Source organism: Homo sapiens, chromosome 2 (assembly GCF_000001405.40).
Source record: "Homo sapiens chromosome 2, GRCh38.p14 Primary Assembly".
In the NCBI taxonomy this organism is placed as follows: domain Eukaryota; kingdom Metazoa; phylum Chordata; class Mammalia; order Primates; family Hominidae; genus Homo; species Homo sapiens.
The window spans coordinates 168,053,460-168,068,389 of NC_000002.12; the positions used below are offsets into that span (position 1 = coordinate 168,053,460).

The 14,930-nt window shown below is 39.5% G+C and overlaps 1 protein-coding gene across 7 annotated transcripts in view, besides 1 other annotated feature; it reads right to left on the reverse strand.

Annotated features, from left to right (window-relative positions):
• The window catches only part of STK39 (serine/threonine kinase 39), a 293,574-nt gene that overhangs the window by 99,438 nt on the left and 179,206 nt on the right, over positions 1 to 14,930 (reverse strand). For 5 of the 7 annotated variants that reach the window (NM_013233.3, XM_047443944.1, XM_017003817.3 and 2 more), the window contains 2 exons: positions 11,860 to 11,922; positions 10,041 to 10,111 (listed from right to left, as the gene is read on the reverse strand). In NM_013233.3, coding sequence (NP_037365.2) covers positions 10,041 to 10,111; positions 11,860 to 11,922 — 134 coding nt within the window. The remainder of the gene's footprint in view (positions 1 to 10,040; positions 10,112 to 11,859; positions 11,923 to 14,930) is intronic. The other 2 variants (NM_001410961.1, XM_047443941.1) reach the window with 1 other exon arrangement.
• Positions 10,593 to 11,132: an enhancer, noted in NCBI's record as "NANOG hESC enhancer chr2:168920562-168921101 (GRCh37/hg19 assembly coordinates)". NCBI's record gives its function as "activates a minimal SCP1, AML or CMV promoter by ChIP-STARR-seq in naive H9 embryonic stem cells {active_cell/tissue: H9 hESC(naive)}" and the evidence as "EXISTENCE:reporter gene assay evidence [ECO:0000049][PMID:30033119]".

Sequence of the window (14,930 nt, forward strand, 5' to 3'; positions counted from 1 at the left end):
TTTCTGGGTGGTGAGATTATGGATGATGTTATTTCTTTAATTTATGTTGACTTTCTGAATTTCTAAGATGACCATTTACGGCTTGAAAATACAGAATATCTTTAAAGAACTCTATGCATTCTCTGTTGCTGAAAGTATTTGTACTCACAATGTCCTCTTGCTCAGTTGTCAAGGAAAAAACAGTATTATCGCAGAATGAATGATTTTTCATGCTTCTATTTTGCTTCCCTTATACCAATTTTTTCTGAATACAAACCTTCTTTCCTTTAGCATGTTTACCAGCAGAAGGATTTTGTATATGCCAAAGGCAACACCTTACACGACCCTCTATCACCTATATGTATACTATCTCCCTATACCATATCATCAATAACATTGAATTAGTGTCAGAAGACCCAGATGCTAGCCAGCTGGAGAATTACAGCTGTGACTGCAGGAAAGCCACTTAACATCTCCAGTCTTTCTGTTTCATCTGTCAGCAGCAAATGTAGGACGAAAGGAAAAACTAAATCAAGCAAGTGATGTGACAGTGCTTGAAAAATTATTAAAACACGATAAATGCCAGTTTCTATTTGCAGCAGCATCTTTAGCATCTCCTCCAAGAAAAATATTTTCCAATATTCCTGTCATAACATTTAATGATGAGTTTGTTGGGAAACATTGTTAAAAGAATATTTATGTGAAACGTTAATGGGAAGACAGGTAAATGTAACAATCCCTAAAGTACAGGAGTTTCTGACTGCATTCAAAACAGGACTGAATAGAGCAAGGCCACAGGGTCAGGGAAGAAGAACAAGGACCAACATGTTAAACTGACCTAGCTTCAAGACCCACCTCTGCTTCTTGTGAGCTTTACGGTGTTAAACAAATTATTTCATGACTTTAAACCTTAATCTCCCACATGTGAAATTCTGGTAACAATAGGATGGATGCTATGGTGGTTTTATGATGATTAAACAAGACACAGCAAACAACGTGCTTATCATCGTGCTTGGCACATAGTAGGCATTTCATCTTTTTGAAGGATACCACTAATAAAGCCAAGATATGCATCAGGGACTCAAATTCTCAAAGAAAACAACCAAAAGAGAACACCCAAAAAATGAAGTAAAATGCCAGACATTTTTTGGATCAGAGCACTGTATTTCTATTAATTTGGTACCCACGTAATAACATATACCACTCTACTGAAAAACAAATGTCGTCTTTTCAGAAATAAGTTAAGACGGTAAACCCCTTACCAAAGACCACAGCATGACACTGACCCTGGATTCGTCCTATCCATTACTCTTCTCAAAATTTGGTTGTTGAAAAAAACAAAAAAAAAAACTCACACACACACAAAAAACAATACCACTGGTTACTATGGGAACAAGCACACCAAAGATAACATCTAAACAAAAGGGCTTTCACCTTCCTCTAACTACCCATAGCTTCTTAGTTTTATCTCTCTTCTTACTGCATTTATCACCTTCTACCTTATATTATGGTCACTTGTGCGGGATCTGATCTCTCCGCCTACATGGTAAGCTCTCTGAGTGCAGAAACCTTGCTTTATTCATTTTTGAATTTTCAACAAAGACTTGCACAAAGAAAGCAGTAAATAAGTAGTTTGCTGTGGAGGGAAAAAAGAACATGTACTAAAAAAGCACTGCATAACTGAACACTATGCCTACACTATTTAACCTTTCAGGGAAAAAATTAATCAAACCTCCCAGCCACTTGACCGGTAAGAATTATACAAATAACCCTATTTTATAGGCTAGAGAACAGTTTAAGAATTATAATTCCTCCTGAATAATGATGGAATTAGAATTCTGGCATACTCATGCTAAAACAATGGCCAACATCGTTTCTAACAGATTTAGCTTTCTTTATGAAATCATAATTTACTAAGTCTATTCTTTACAAATAGCTAAGTGCATCTTTTAATAACGAAACCAAAATAATAAATTGAAGTATGCAACAATTGTCATGCTGAGTTAAAATAAGTATCCCGTGCTAGAGATCATTTTTCCCTACCAGCAGGAAGCCACTCTGCTGATCTGGGGTCTTCAACTGGTCCCTCAAGGTCCAATGATACTGCTACATAATAACAAGGTAAATTCATGATGAGCAAATTGATGGGACATACCAGACCAGCATATCTATGTATGGCAATTGGCAGGGCTGCCTTCAGCAAAACTGTAAATGCCATCCATAGGGCTGAGCTGTCAAAGTATGAACAGCATCTAATACAAAGGAATTAATAATTTAAGTGATAGATTTACCATTTTCCAAATCACTGAGCCTGATTCTAATAAACATGTTTTGTGCCAAATGCATGACTATTTTATTTGATGAAAAATATACTAATGGAAAAATATTTGTATAATGTTTGACTCAAAACAGAAACTGTATTACCATCTACTGACAGTATATAAATTACAAGGTGGCCCACTTGGTATTTTTCTCCTGAGTTTAGCATTTAGGAGGATTTCCTTACCTTGTACGGGCTTTATGATAATTCAATTTTTTTGATATCATAGATGACATTATCATATATACTATGGACAAAAAAAATTTGCAAAAAACATAAAAGAAAAAGATAAATCTGCATTTTAACCACCTCCAGCATTTAACATTGAGCCTTAAGGTCTAATCCTGTTCTCTGATATTGCATATAACAGCAAATTAAAGCAACACTATATTTTTTTCAAGGAAGAAACTACCCTTTTGCCTCCTCAGACTTTTGCCTATGATCTCCAGGAATAAATAAATAGTGGAGAAATACACTACCTGTAGCCACAACGTATTTGTCTTTTCTCCTAGAGTGTGACATTTTGAAAAGGAAAATATTTCCCAGTTTCCTACTTACAAAATCAAGGTGAGCTTCCGGGGGGAGGGGGAGGGGCGTGCAGTGAGGAAGGAAGCCACGTTCCCAGCAGGTAGGGCCATAAAATGCTATGTCAAAAAGAAAGTCACAGTGACCTTTCCAAGAGGTGGAGAGGGCAGCCACCCACACAGCATTAGTTAAGGACTGAGGAAGGGCTGGCCTGAACTAAAGTCTCCTACCTACTAGCCTGTGGAGCATAACACACATAAATGTCACACCCAGATAGGCTCGGGGATAAGAAATGCAAGCATACTACTTCCCAATACCCGGCAGCCACGCATCACATTGAGGAGTGATTCACAGAGAGTGAGGGCATATACAAATATACGTGTATGTGTAACATATGCAGGCGTATATGTGTGTGTACATGTAGATATGTATATGTACAAATGCATTCACATATATCAGAGTCTTGAATGGAGATGGAAACAAATGAGGAAGGTGCAAAAGAGGGCATGGATTTTTAAAAATCTGATCAACACCAGCCAAAAGCAGCCTTCCAGCTCCCTATCACACAGGATGGTTTAGAGAATAGCTTGTTCAGGCCCAGAGATGATGCAAATGATCCAAAGTAGACTTCAAATGGGGAATGGGTATGAACAAATTGTGTGGCAGGGAACAATACTGGATAGTGGGTTTTTGATACTCAAAGAGCTTGTAACTTCAAAGGCTATAAAAGAAGGAAGTCAGACCTTTGAGGGGTGCTGGGGTGAGAGAAGAGGACAGGGGACTGCCACCTTGCACACAAGAGATCAGCTTGACAGCAATTCTATGACTCATATTTATTTATGACTTAAACAGTGTTTCTAAGATGGTGGCCCATGGCTATGCTCACAGAATCCTCTACAAATGTTTTATTTATTTACTTACTTTTTTGAGACAGAGTCTCGCTCTGTCGCCCAGGCTAGAGTGCAGTGGCATAATTTCTGCTCACTGCAACCTCCACCTCCCGTGTTCTAGCAATTCTCGTGCCTCAGCCTCCTGAGTAGCTGGGATTATAGCCATGTGCCACCACACTCAGCTAATTTTTGTATTTTTAGTAGAGACAGGGTTTCACCATGTTGGCCAGGCTGATCTCGAACTCCTGACCTCAAGTGATCTGCCTGCCTTGGCCTCCCAAAGTGCTGCAATTATAGGCGTGAGCCACCGCGCCTGGCCCTCTATGAATGTTTTTAAATGTTGTGTTTCCTTAATTATAATCACACGCACGTGCACACACACACACGCATGCACGCGCACACACACACAGACACTTACATGCTGGGTCATTATTAACCTCCAGTGATCCCTGTTCCAGCCTGTTAATCCTTCTGCATTTCCCTAGAAAATTTACTCTCCTGCTCTCCTACACAATTATTCTCCTCTCTTCTAAAACCTCCATCACGTTCTTTTCCTTCCACTCTCAACTAATGACATTCCCTGTTTTACTGGGAAAATAGAAACAGAAGAAGACTTCCAGGCAAGGTACAGTCTCCTTGCACCTCTACCTGCCACCCCTGCCTGCCTTCCCCTGATGGTAGCTGCACCATCCAAGAGATGACCTCTCCTTTCTCCTATCTAACAGATGTCTGGGGATCATCCCTGTTCACCCATCTGAGAACATCAGTCTGGCACTGTCCCCTCCCTCATTCAATTTTTCCTTCTCTATTGAATCATTCCCATTCACCTGTAAACATGCTTTTTTTAAAAAAAATCTTCCTTTACCCAATATTCTCATTGAGCTATCACTCCACAGTTTTGATCCCTTGTGTTGAGAATTTCTCACAAGAGTTATCTGTACTAACAAGTTATCTATTTGTTATCCCCTGTTCTCTCTTGCCAATCTCTTGAACCCAGTTGGACCAGGCTTTTGTCCCCATCACTCCACTGAAAATATTCTTGCCAAGGTCAAGCATGTGCTTCATTTTGCAAATATACTTGACCTATTGATAGCATTTGATGCAGCTTTTCACTCCTCCTTTCTTCAAACACTTCCTCTATTTGTTTTTTAGGAACATCACTCTCTCCTCTACCTCACCAGCCTCTCCTTCTCAATCAGTGGATGCTTACCTATGCAACATCTGTGACAGTACCAGCCCACTTCTCTTCTCTACCTTCACTTACTCCCTAGATGATTCCACTCATTTCATAACTTTAAATGCCATAGACACCAACTGTTCCCAAATTTACATCTCTAGCCGAGACATCTTTGAAATCATGCATCTAAATCCCTACCTGATACATCCTCACAGACAACTCACGCTTAACATGTGCAAAACTGAGTTCTTTATTCCATCCCAACCTGCAACTCAAACTCTCTTTTCCATCTCAAAAAATAGTAACTCCATTCCTCCATACTTTCAGGCCAAAACCTTGAGTAATCAAGTTCTTTCTCCCCAATCTGGAATCCAATAATTGCTTACCACTTCCGTTAATCCTCACTCTGGTCCAAGTCACATCATCGTCACTATGTCATGGCAGTAGCCTGCCTAGGGACTCTCACAGCCACCTTATATGCTCTCTACATGGTCTGTTCTCTATAAATCAATTGCAGCTCTCTGTTTAAAATTTTATTCAGATCATATCACTCTTTTGCTCACAGGCCTCCTGGTTTTCTGCCCTCTAACAGTAAAATCCAAAGTCTTCACCACAGGCTACACAGCCCTACGTGATTTGGCCCCTGCTAACTCTCTGTGCCCATGACCTTGGCTCTGCCTGCACTGGTTACCTGGCTGCTTTTCCAATTACTTATAACATGCTTCCTGCTTCAAACGTTTGCAAGTGCTGTTTGCTCGGCCTCGTGGCTTGTTTCCTCACTTCCAATAGGGGTCTGTCTGTTCAAATATTACTTTATTTGGAGAGGCCTTCTGTGGTAGGCAGAATTCTAAGATGACCCCAATAAACCCATTCCTTAGTGAACTTGCCCTGCAGCATCCTCTCCCCTTGAGTATGAACAGGACCTATAACGATAATGGGATGTCACTCCTGCGATTAAGTTATGGCACATGGCAAAGGTGAAGATGTAATTAAAGTTCCAAATCAGTTTGATTTTGAGTTCATCAAAAAGGAGATTATCCTAGGTGAGGCCTGCTTAATCAGGTGAAAAACCTTGAACAGAAAGACCGAGGCCTTGGGAGTGAGGGTGGCGTAGTGGAGATGGTCCACAGCTGCTCCTGAAAGGGCAAGAATCATGTTGTAAACTGCTTGTGGCCTATAGGAGCTCAGGGCCTCAGTCCACAACTGCAAGGACCTAAATTCTGCCAGCAGCCTAAAAAGGCTTGGGAGAGGACCATGAGTTCCGATGAGCATGCCGCAATTTCAGCCTGCGAGACACTGAGCAGACTATCCCACTCAACTGTACCCGGACTTACAACCTACAGAAACTGAGATAATAAATGGGTGCTGTTCTAAGTTGCTAAGTTTGTGATAGCTTTTCACACAGCAACAGAAATCTAATATACCTTCTATAATATAGAATACCATCCCCCTCACTTTCTATCCTCCTCACATACCTTTTCCTTCAGACAACCTGGTATATCATACAACCAATTTGAATATTTGAATTTTTCCTCTCCCTGGCTCTAGAATGTAAGCTCCTTTAGGGCAAGAAGTCTGCCTTTTCTTTTTTCTACTGGTACATTACAGCACCTGGAACAATGCCATGTACATAGTAAGTGCTCAATAAATATTTATAGAATGAATGAATGTATTTACCATTTTCGTTTACTTTAGAACACGGTGATCACAAAAAAGTAATACTGTTTAACTTAGAACTTTCAAAGGCTATTTCTCAAACTGAAGTACAAGGACATCCCCCCCCTTTCCACCCCACTCCAACAATAATTTCTCAGAGATTCATGAGTTCACAAATATGAAAAGTAATAGTCTAAATAACTAGCTTGTAAATATTTAGCGAAAAAAAAAGTACACCAACTGCTATGTACTGAATCGTGGCCCACCCTGAAAAAAATTCATATGCTGAAGCCCTAACCCTCCAAGTGATGGTATTTAGAGATGGAGCCTTTGGGAGGTAATTATGTTTAGGTGAGCTCATGAGGGTGGGACCCAAGAGACACCAGAGAGCTTGCTCTCACTCCCTCTCCACCATGTGAGGACTCAGTAAGCAGACAGACAGCTGCAAGCCAAGAAGAGAGCCCTCACCAGAAACCAGCCATGCTGACATCCCGATCTCCACAACTATGAGAAAATACATTTCTGTTGTTTCAGCCGCCTAGTCTATGGTATTTTTTTTAATGGCAACCTAACTAGACAAATGTACCAACAATTAGATATCAACAAGTGTTCACTGAAAATAAGTCATACTAAAATACATTTCTATTATTTGAAAGTGTTTCTATGTCATTAGATTCAGGAAAATGCCATTAATGTGGTACATATTAACTTCAGCAACATATATAATAGATCCCTTTATGATATCCTTTGGAATAATTGTGTTAGATGTACATTAAAAGGCATTGAATTTGTTGCTGGTTGAACAACTGTATCAAAGAACACTAGTTCATTACTGAAAGTCACTCCGACAGTGAATGGTTTCCAACAGATGTCAGAAGACTCTTCGCCCTCAAACTACTGAACACCTTAATCAATGTTTTGGATAAAGATTAAAAGGCAGGTTAATCAGATTGGCAATGGACATACATCTAAACACTAGAATATGACACACTGATGGTGATGATTGAAACACACAGTGGACAAGAAATTCATCAAAACTATCAGGTTAATTATTAGTGATAAAAGATAAATTTTATCTAGAGTTGCAGTTCAGAATTAGGCTTGGTAGCCCTTTAAAAAAATCAGCTGTTTTGTTTGGCTGCTGAGTCATGCTGAACATGTCACCCATGTGCATGGATATTTCAAAAGGCAATGAAAACTCAGGCTGATTTAGGAGAAATATAGAGTGTGGATTACAAAAAAAAAAAAAACCACATTATCTTAATACTGTATTCCAGCTGCTCAGACCACATCTGGAATCCTGTATTTAAATATGGGCACTACATACAAAAGGAACACAAAATAACCACATAAAAAGAGTTACGAGATCAAATAGGTTTTAGATTAAAGAAAGTTAAACAAATTATCTTCCTGTAGAACTTCTTAAAATATTTAATGTTAATATTCCTTATGATTTCCAAAAAAAAGTGTATGTGCGTGTGTGTGCACATGCACAGATTGATGAATAGTGTGCATTGTTTTTTAACTTATTTGAACATAGAACCCTTTCTTCCTGGAGCGTCATGTAGGACTAGTGATCTAAGCCACAAGCTTATGAAAACAACCTATACCCACAAGAGAAAATATAACAAAGGCAGATACAGACTAAATATTAATAAAGGTGAGCAACTAGGATTGCAAGAGCAATATAGAAACTGTATCATGAGAAAAAGGCTAAAGATTCTTATAGTATTTTGTCTAAGAAAAGAGAAGAACATTCCTTGCAAATATACAAATGGCTCTCAGAAAAATAAGGGAACACATTTGTCATATTGCTCTAGCACCCAGGGCAAAATAATATCTAAAGTTAAGGTTCAGTAGTACGTGTTTTGACACATTTTCCAGGAGACTTTTATGCAGACAGTCTGATATTTGCACTAAGGGGGAGAATTACAGCCCATAGGAGCCCAGAACAGAAAAGTCGGTTTAATCTTCAGGAGGAAGAACCATCAATCAATTAAGGCTTTTATTTAGTATTAAAGGGGCCATCATGGAGAAAACGTGAGCTTTAGTATGCACAGAAGCTAGGTAAACATCCAGCAGAGACACTAAAAAAAAGATTCCTGCATATATAAAGTGGGCGATTAGACTGTTGGATTCTAAAGGTCACTTCCAACACTGCATGCTCAGTGGGCTAGACTAAAACCTTGGTAGTCTTGCTCACCACTACACCTCAATGACAACATGAGCCTGGCACAGAGCTCCTGGCGCAGAGTGGGCTCCTCATAAATACGGGCTGAATTAATGAATAACTGAACAAGTAAAATATAAATGAAAGAAGTACCTCGTTCGAAAGTCAAACAAAAAGGGAATGGGCTACCTCATTCTTTAGTGATTGCTAAATTCACGAACTGTGAATAATAATCAAGGCTACTGTCAAATATAAGGAAAACAGCCTTGTGATAATTTCACTTCTTAACTCTGAATTGAATCATACCAAGGGTTACTGTGAGGTTCCTTTGACAAATACGTGAAAATGCAGACTATAAATGACCATCAGAAGTGAGGGGTGATTATGGTGCCAATGGTCTACTTAGATGGACTATGATAACTCAGAGGGGTGGAAACTAACCTTAAGGATGAGCCCACTTTTTGTAGCTACAACTCTGAAAATCCCTAGTGGCCAGAAACTAACCTTGCTGATGAACCCGCTTTTTGTAGCTACAACTCAGAAAATGCCTAGTATATGCACGTGCTTTATTTGTTTAATGGTCAGAAGAACATATGTATAACTTCTTTTAAAACATCTTCAAAGATGTGACAGTATTCTGATAGAACTGGTAAACTAAGCTGTTTATAATTCAGTTTAAACAGTTTTGTCTTGAGATATCAAATTCTTAGCAAAGAACATCACAAAGATGAACCTTTAAATAATTAAAAAAAAAATCCTTAAAACGGAAAACGCTTTCATTCACACTACTGCAGACAAAGACCATACTGTCAGGCACCATATTTGTATCCATTTCCTAGAAGACTGAGATTTCTTTCAAAATATATCTGTCATTTCTCCACAGTGGCTGATCAAACTTGCCAATGAAAAATGTTCTGAACAGGCAACCTGTAGTACAAGCATGGTTTATTTCTGTCAGAGACCGACTGCTGAAGTGTGAAAGAAACTCATTAAAAATCTCTTACTGTGATCTTACATTGTAAAAAAAAAGAAAAAGGAAAAGAAAAAAAAATCTAAGAAGGAAAAGGCAAGGAAATAAAACATAATGAAAGGTACACTGAGCCTGCAGACACACTCATATGGTGCTTTTCTTTCTTACTCTTCTTTAGCAAGCAATTAGAAGAGCACAATTAGCCCTGGGAATACAGCATACACTCATGGTTCGGGGAAATCAAATAAGCTAACGATTCTATTTTATGCTAATATTATGAAAGGTTAACGAAGGAGATTTAAAAAATTGTACTATAGGAAAAACAATGCAGAATAAACAACAGTATTATTTACCTTAATCTCAAAACGAGGTTCACGGCACAAGAAGAAGCTTCTCTGTAGTCTTCATTAGCATTGGGTGGGCCCTTTAAAAAGAAAACAGCAAACAGTGTTATAAACTGTATCAGGAAAGGAATGAATAAAATCACAATATCACTTGATTCATATAGCCATTTCTTTCTGGAAATTTCAAAACTAGATCTTTACACACGCAGGCCTTCTTTGGCATCGTAACACCTCCATGTAAAGGTTGTAATGGTGCCTAATTCCCATCACAATTGTGGATATGAATGTTTCATATGGAAAGCCTCAGTTCTAGGATGGGTATCATAAACAACTTGTATAAGCTGTAGTAAAGTCCAGCTACCTAAAATGGCACCTCACAACCCACACATAGACTGTTACTATTGAAACTTGGGGATCACAAAGGCTGGGCACCTTAAACCCTGCAATGCAGAGGAAGGCGGGGCCCAGAAGATTCAGCCACTGTTTATCTTTCCTGCCTTTCTCACCTAGAGCCCATTTTCTTGAATATTGATTATTAACCATGAATGTCTCCAATACACAGCCTCTCCCTGTTCTCAGGGAATCCCGGGACATGAGTAGACCTTATTGTTGGAGTAGAAAAAATAAGGCATTTCAGGTCAAGACTTGGCACTGCCACTGACCTGAAATGCAACCATGAGCAAGCCATTCTCTGAATAACGCCTGCCGTAAAAGGTTGCAGGGAGAATAAAATGATATAGATGAAAGTGAGTCATAAAATGCTCTACAGTACTAGTTATCCTAATCCCTGTTCCCGTTTCCTTTACTCTCTTTGCCCTCTGATCCATTATTATTCTTAACTTGCCTTTTATCATTCAACCAATCCCTACAGTTTATCTCAAGGTCTCTTACTGAGTTGCCTGATATAGTGTAAAGACCTAAACCGAATCCTGACTTGGCCTCTAACTAGTGGTGTGACTATGGGGGAGCCACTTCACCTCTGCAAGTCTTTACTCCCTCTATATATAAGCTATAAAATAAGGGCCCCGCATTAGGTATCTGACCTCAAACAGGCTTCCTGAAGCCAACAAAATCACTCTAATTATCTCTCCAATATATGGCTATTTTATAAAACACAGACCAAGTAAAACAGAAATGAATTTAAATTGAATATGCAGAGTTTGAAAGAAAGAAAATTATGATCCTGACAGTGGTGACGCTTTATAGTACAACCACTTTGAGAACAAAAGGGCTTGCCTGTTAATTATACAGCAGAACCAGAATGCAGGCCTGTGCTCTGGTTCTATGCCCCTAGGCCTTTCCCTGGATTGCTCAGCATCCCTCAACACCTCCCACCATGGCTCACAGCCACGTCTTCTGTCCCATAACTTTAATAAATATGCATTATAAATGCATGTCACAGTTACTGGACTATTATTTTTACAAGGCAAGTTGTAGAGACGAATTGGCCCATAAAATTCAATGATAACAGAATTATGAAAACAGGTTACAGAAATCCAACCAGGAGCAAAAAATAAAAGTATCAATTAACCACAATGTTCTGTGGCTGGAATATAACAGAATGGTGTCATTTTCTTTCCTTTTCTTCTTTTCCACAGTACCAGCAATTTCAGGAGCAGTCTGGTAATCAATTCTCACTCTTGAGCCTATCATTTAAAGGTTGGAGGTCCCACAAAGCACAGTCAATAGCAACCTATTTAAAAAGACAGCTTATAAGCCCTTGATTTGGAGGCACTACCTTGAAATTGTCTATCTTTCTAAAATGTTGGTTTTTTAAAGGATCTGTCTACAAAGCACCTCAAACGGAATGACTGGCAGAGAAACATACCTGAGAGTCGTGCACAGAGAGGGACTGTATTTGTTCGGGGATGGTGCTGGCACTCACTGCAATCTGTTACGAGAGCCACCGTTACAGCATTCAAGAAAGCCAAAGGGAGACACGGTGAGTGTGGTTACATTAAGTCCCAATTATCAGACCCAATAATTTCCAAACGATCATAAAGCAATATTTACCAAAGTGTGGCTCTTTGACTACCTGTGTTGGAATCACCTAGGACAAGTGTTAAAGACCCCTAGGCCCCTCCTGGCCTGTGACTCAGAATTCCACAGAGATGGAAGAGAATCTGTGTCTTTACCAAGTTCCCCAAATAACCCTCATTATACTGTTAAAGAACCACTAAGCTAAAGTGAAAAGGCATGAATTATTTGATGTTTTAAATTTGATAACCAAAAGATGTCCTAGGATAATTTTTTCTTATTGCATAATTTCATCTAAGGTTAACGGACCCTCAATGAAAAGACGTTGGGGTTAATAAAACCTGCCCCTTTAATCTAACTATGAGCAATTATTCACTGTATTTAAAAAATACATAAGGATAGTTGCATTTTTAAAAGATATTAATGCTAAAGTGATAGGTTATACTCCTCTCTCAAAGTTAGAAACCCAACTCTAAGGTTACCCCCAAATTATTTTTGCCTTGAGCTCTACTTTTGGGAACTCTGCCCTGGAGCAAAACTTGAAAGACAAAAAACAACACCAACAACAACAACAAAAAAAACCTCAAAGAGAAACAGCAATGAAAATGAACAAAAAGGTTCTCCTATTTCTAAACTTACTATCAATTCTAAATCAGAAATCATCAAAAATTATTTGTGAGAAGAGCTTTCTAAAGTTTAAGAGCATAAAATTCTTACTCTCCATGCTTCTTCCAAAATAACTATGGTGGTAGTGAAGTAATAGGGAAAAGTGTATTGATGTCTGCAATTTACTTTGAAATGCATCAAAAAGTTAAGATAGACTGAAGGATGAATAGATGGATATATATGATAGAGCAAGTACAGTAATGATGATACCTAGATTATAGGTATACGGCGTTCACTATAAAATGTTTTAATGTTGCTCTATTTATTTTTACGATAAGATGTTAGGGGAAAATGACTACGTTAGAAGAACAAAACAACCTGTATTCATTAACCAGCCAGAGGCTCTGGGCCTACTTCAAATGATCTCTTGCAAAGAATCTTTCAGGGTGATTCCACAATCTTAATTTAAATTTGTGATACAACCAAAGGCCACATCAGTACTTATAAACATTATTGTGACTTCCTTTAGTCAAAGAACTACTGTAACCTGAAAAACCTTAGTGGCATTTACTAAGAGGTGAAAACTTCTCTTTCCCCTGGGAAGACCCATCTCCTGCCCTGCACAATCATCAAGATGGAGGGCTAATCAACTAGGCGGGGGGCTGGAACCCCACACACACCCTGCAACCTTACTGTGTAGGTGTAACCCTGAATACAACGAGGGGACCACAGCCTCCACTCTGATGCACAGCAATATGGTAATTCCTCAGAAAATGTGCAGAGATGCACAGGAGAGCTGGACAGGGAGGGAATACAGTTTGGATATTTGTTCCCACCCAAATCTCATGTTGAAATGTAATCCTCAGCTGGGCACGGTGGCTCATGCCTCTAATCCCAGCACTTTGAAAGGATGAGGTGTGGGTGGGTCACTTGAGGCCAAGAGTTCGAGGCTAGCTCGGGCAACATGGCGAAACTCCATCTCTACTAAAAATACAAAAATTAGCTAGGTGTGGTGGTTTGCGCCTGTAGTCCCAGCTACTTGAGAGGCTGAGGCGCAAGAATCACTGGAACCCAGAAGGCGGAGATTGCAGTGAGCTGTGATCACACCACTGCACTCTAGCCTGAGTGACAAAGTGAGACTCTGTCTCAAAAAAAAGAAAAAAAATGTTATCTCCAATGTTGGAGGTGGAGCCTGATGGCACATGTTTGGATCATGGGGATGGATCCCTCATGAATAGCTTGGGCCATTCCCTTGGTGATAAGTGAGTTCCCACTCTGAGTTCACACGAGATTTGGTCATTTAAAAGTGTGTGGCACCTCCTTCCCACTCTCTCTGTTGCTCCTGCTTTCACCAAATTATGTGCCTGTTCTCACTTCACCTTCCACCATGAGCAAAAGCTCCCTGAGGCTTTCCCAGAAGCTGAGCAGCTGCCAGCATCAGCTTATACAGCCTGCAGAACCGTGAGTCAATTATATCTCTTTTTTTTTTCCTAAATAACCCACTCTCAGGTGGCAATGCAAGGATGGCCTAATACAGGAAGCCACCGTACAAAACATCTTCCTTGACAACGAACTGCATTCCTCCAAATGTCACCACTACAGATCCATTCTATGGGATTAGGGCATGGTCTTTTGGGTATACTCTTCTAAGTGTAAAAACTTGTAAGAAAGCTAACATATTAAGCAGCTGTCAATTTATCAGGGTTTTTCATTTCCTTTTAAACAATTTGCTATAGGATGGACATTTGAGAGAATGAGTGTTTTGATGGGAAGGTGTATTAGTCCGGTTTCATATTGCTATGAACAAATACCCAAGACTGGGTAATTTATAAAGAAAAAGGGGGTTAATAGACTCGCAGGTTCACATGGCTGGGAAGGCCTCACAATCACAGCAGAAGGCGCAGGAGGAGCAAAGGCACAGCTTACACGGTAGCAGGCAAGAGAGTGTGTGCAGGAGAACTGCCCTTTATAAAACCATCAGATCTCATGAGACTTATACACTATTACGAGAACAGTATAGGAAAACCTGCTGCTATGATTCAATTACCGCTCATCGGGTCCCTCCCATGACATGTAGGGATTATGGAAGCTACAATTCAAGATGAGATTTGGGTGAGGACACAGCCAAACCATATCAGAGGAGGAGGCAGGAACAATGGATTAATGTTGAACACCACCATGGCAATAGACCCTGATGGGGATCTAGGACAGGATAAGAGAGGAAAAGATCTCAGAATGGAGACAAGAAAGAGACAACATCTGCTTTCCAATTTTTCGTAGAGCTCTGCCTAATGAACTCCTTTCCTGTTTTCGCAA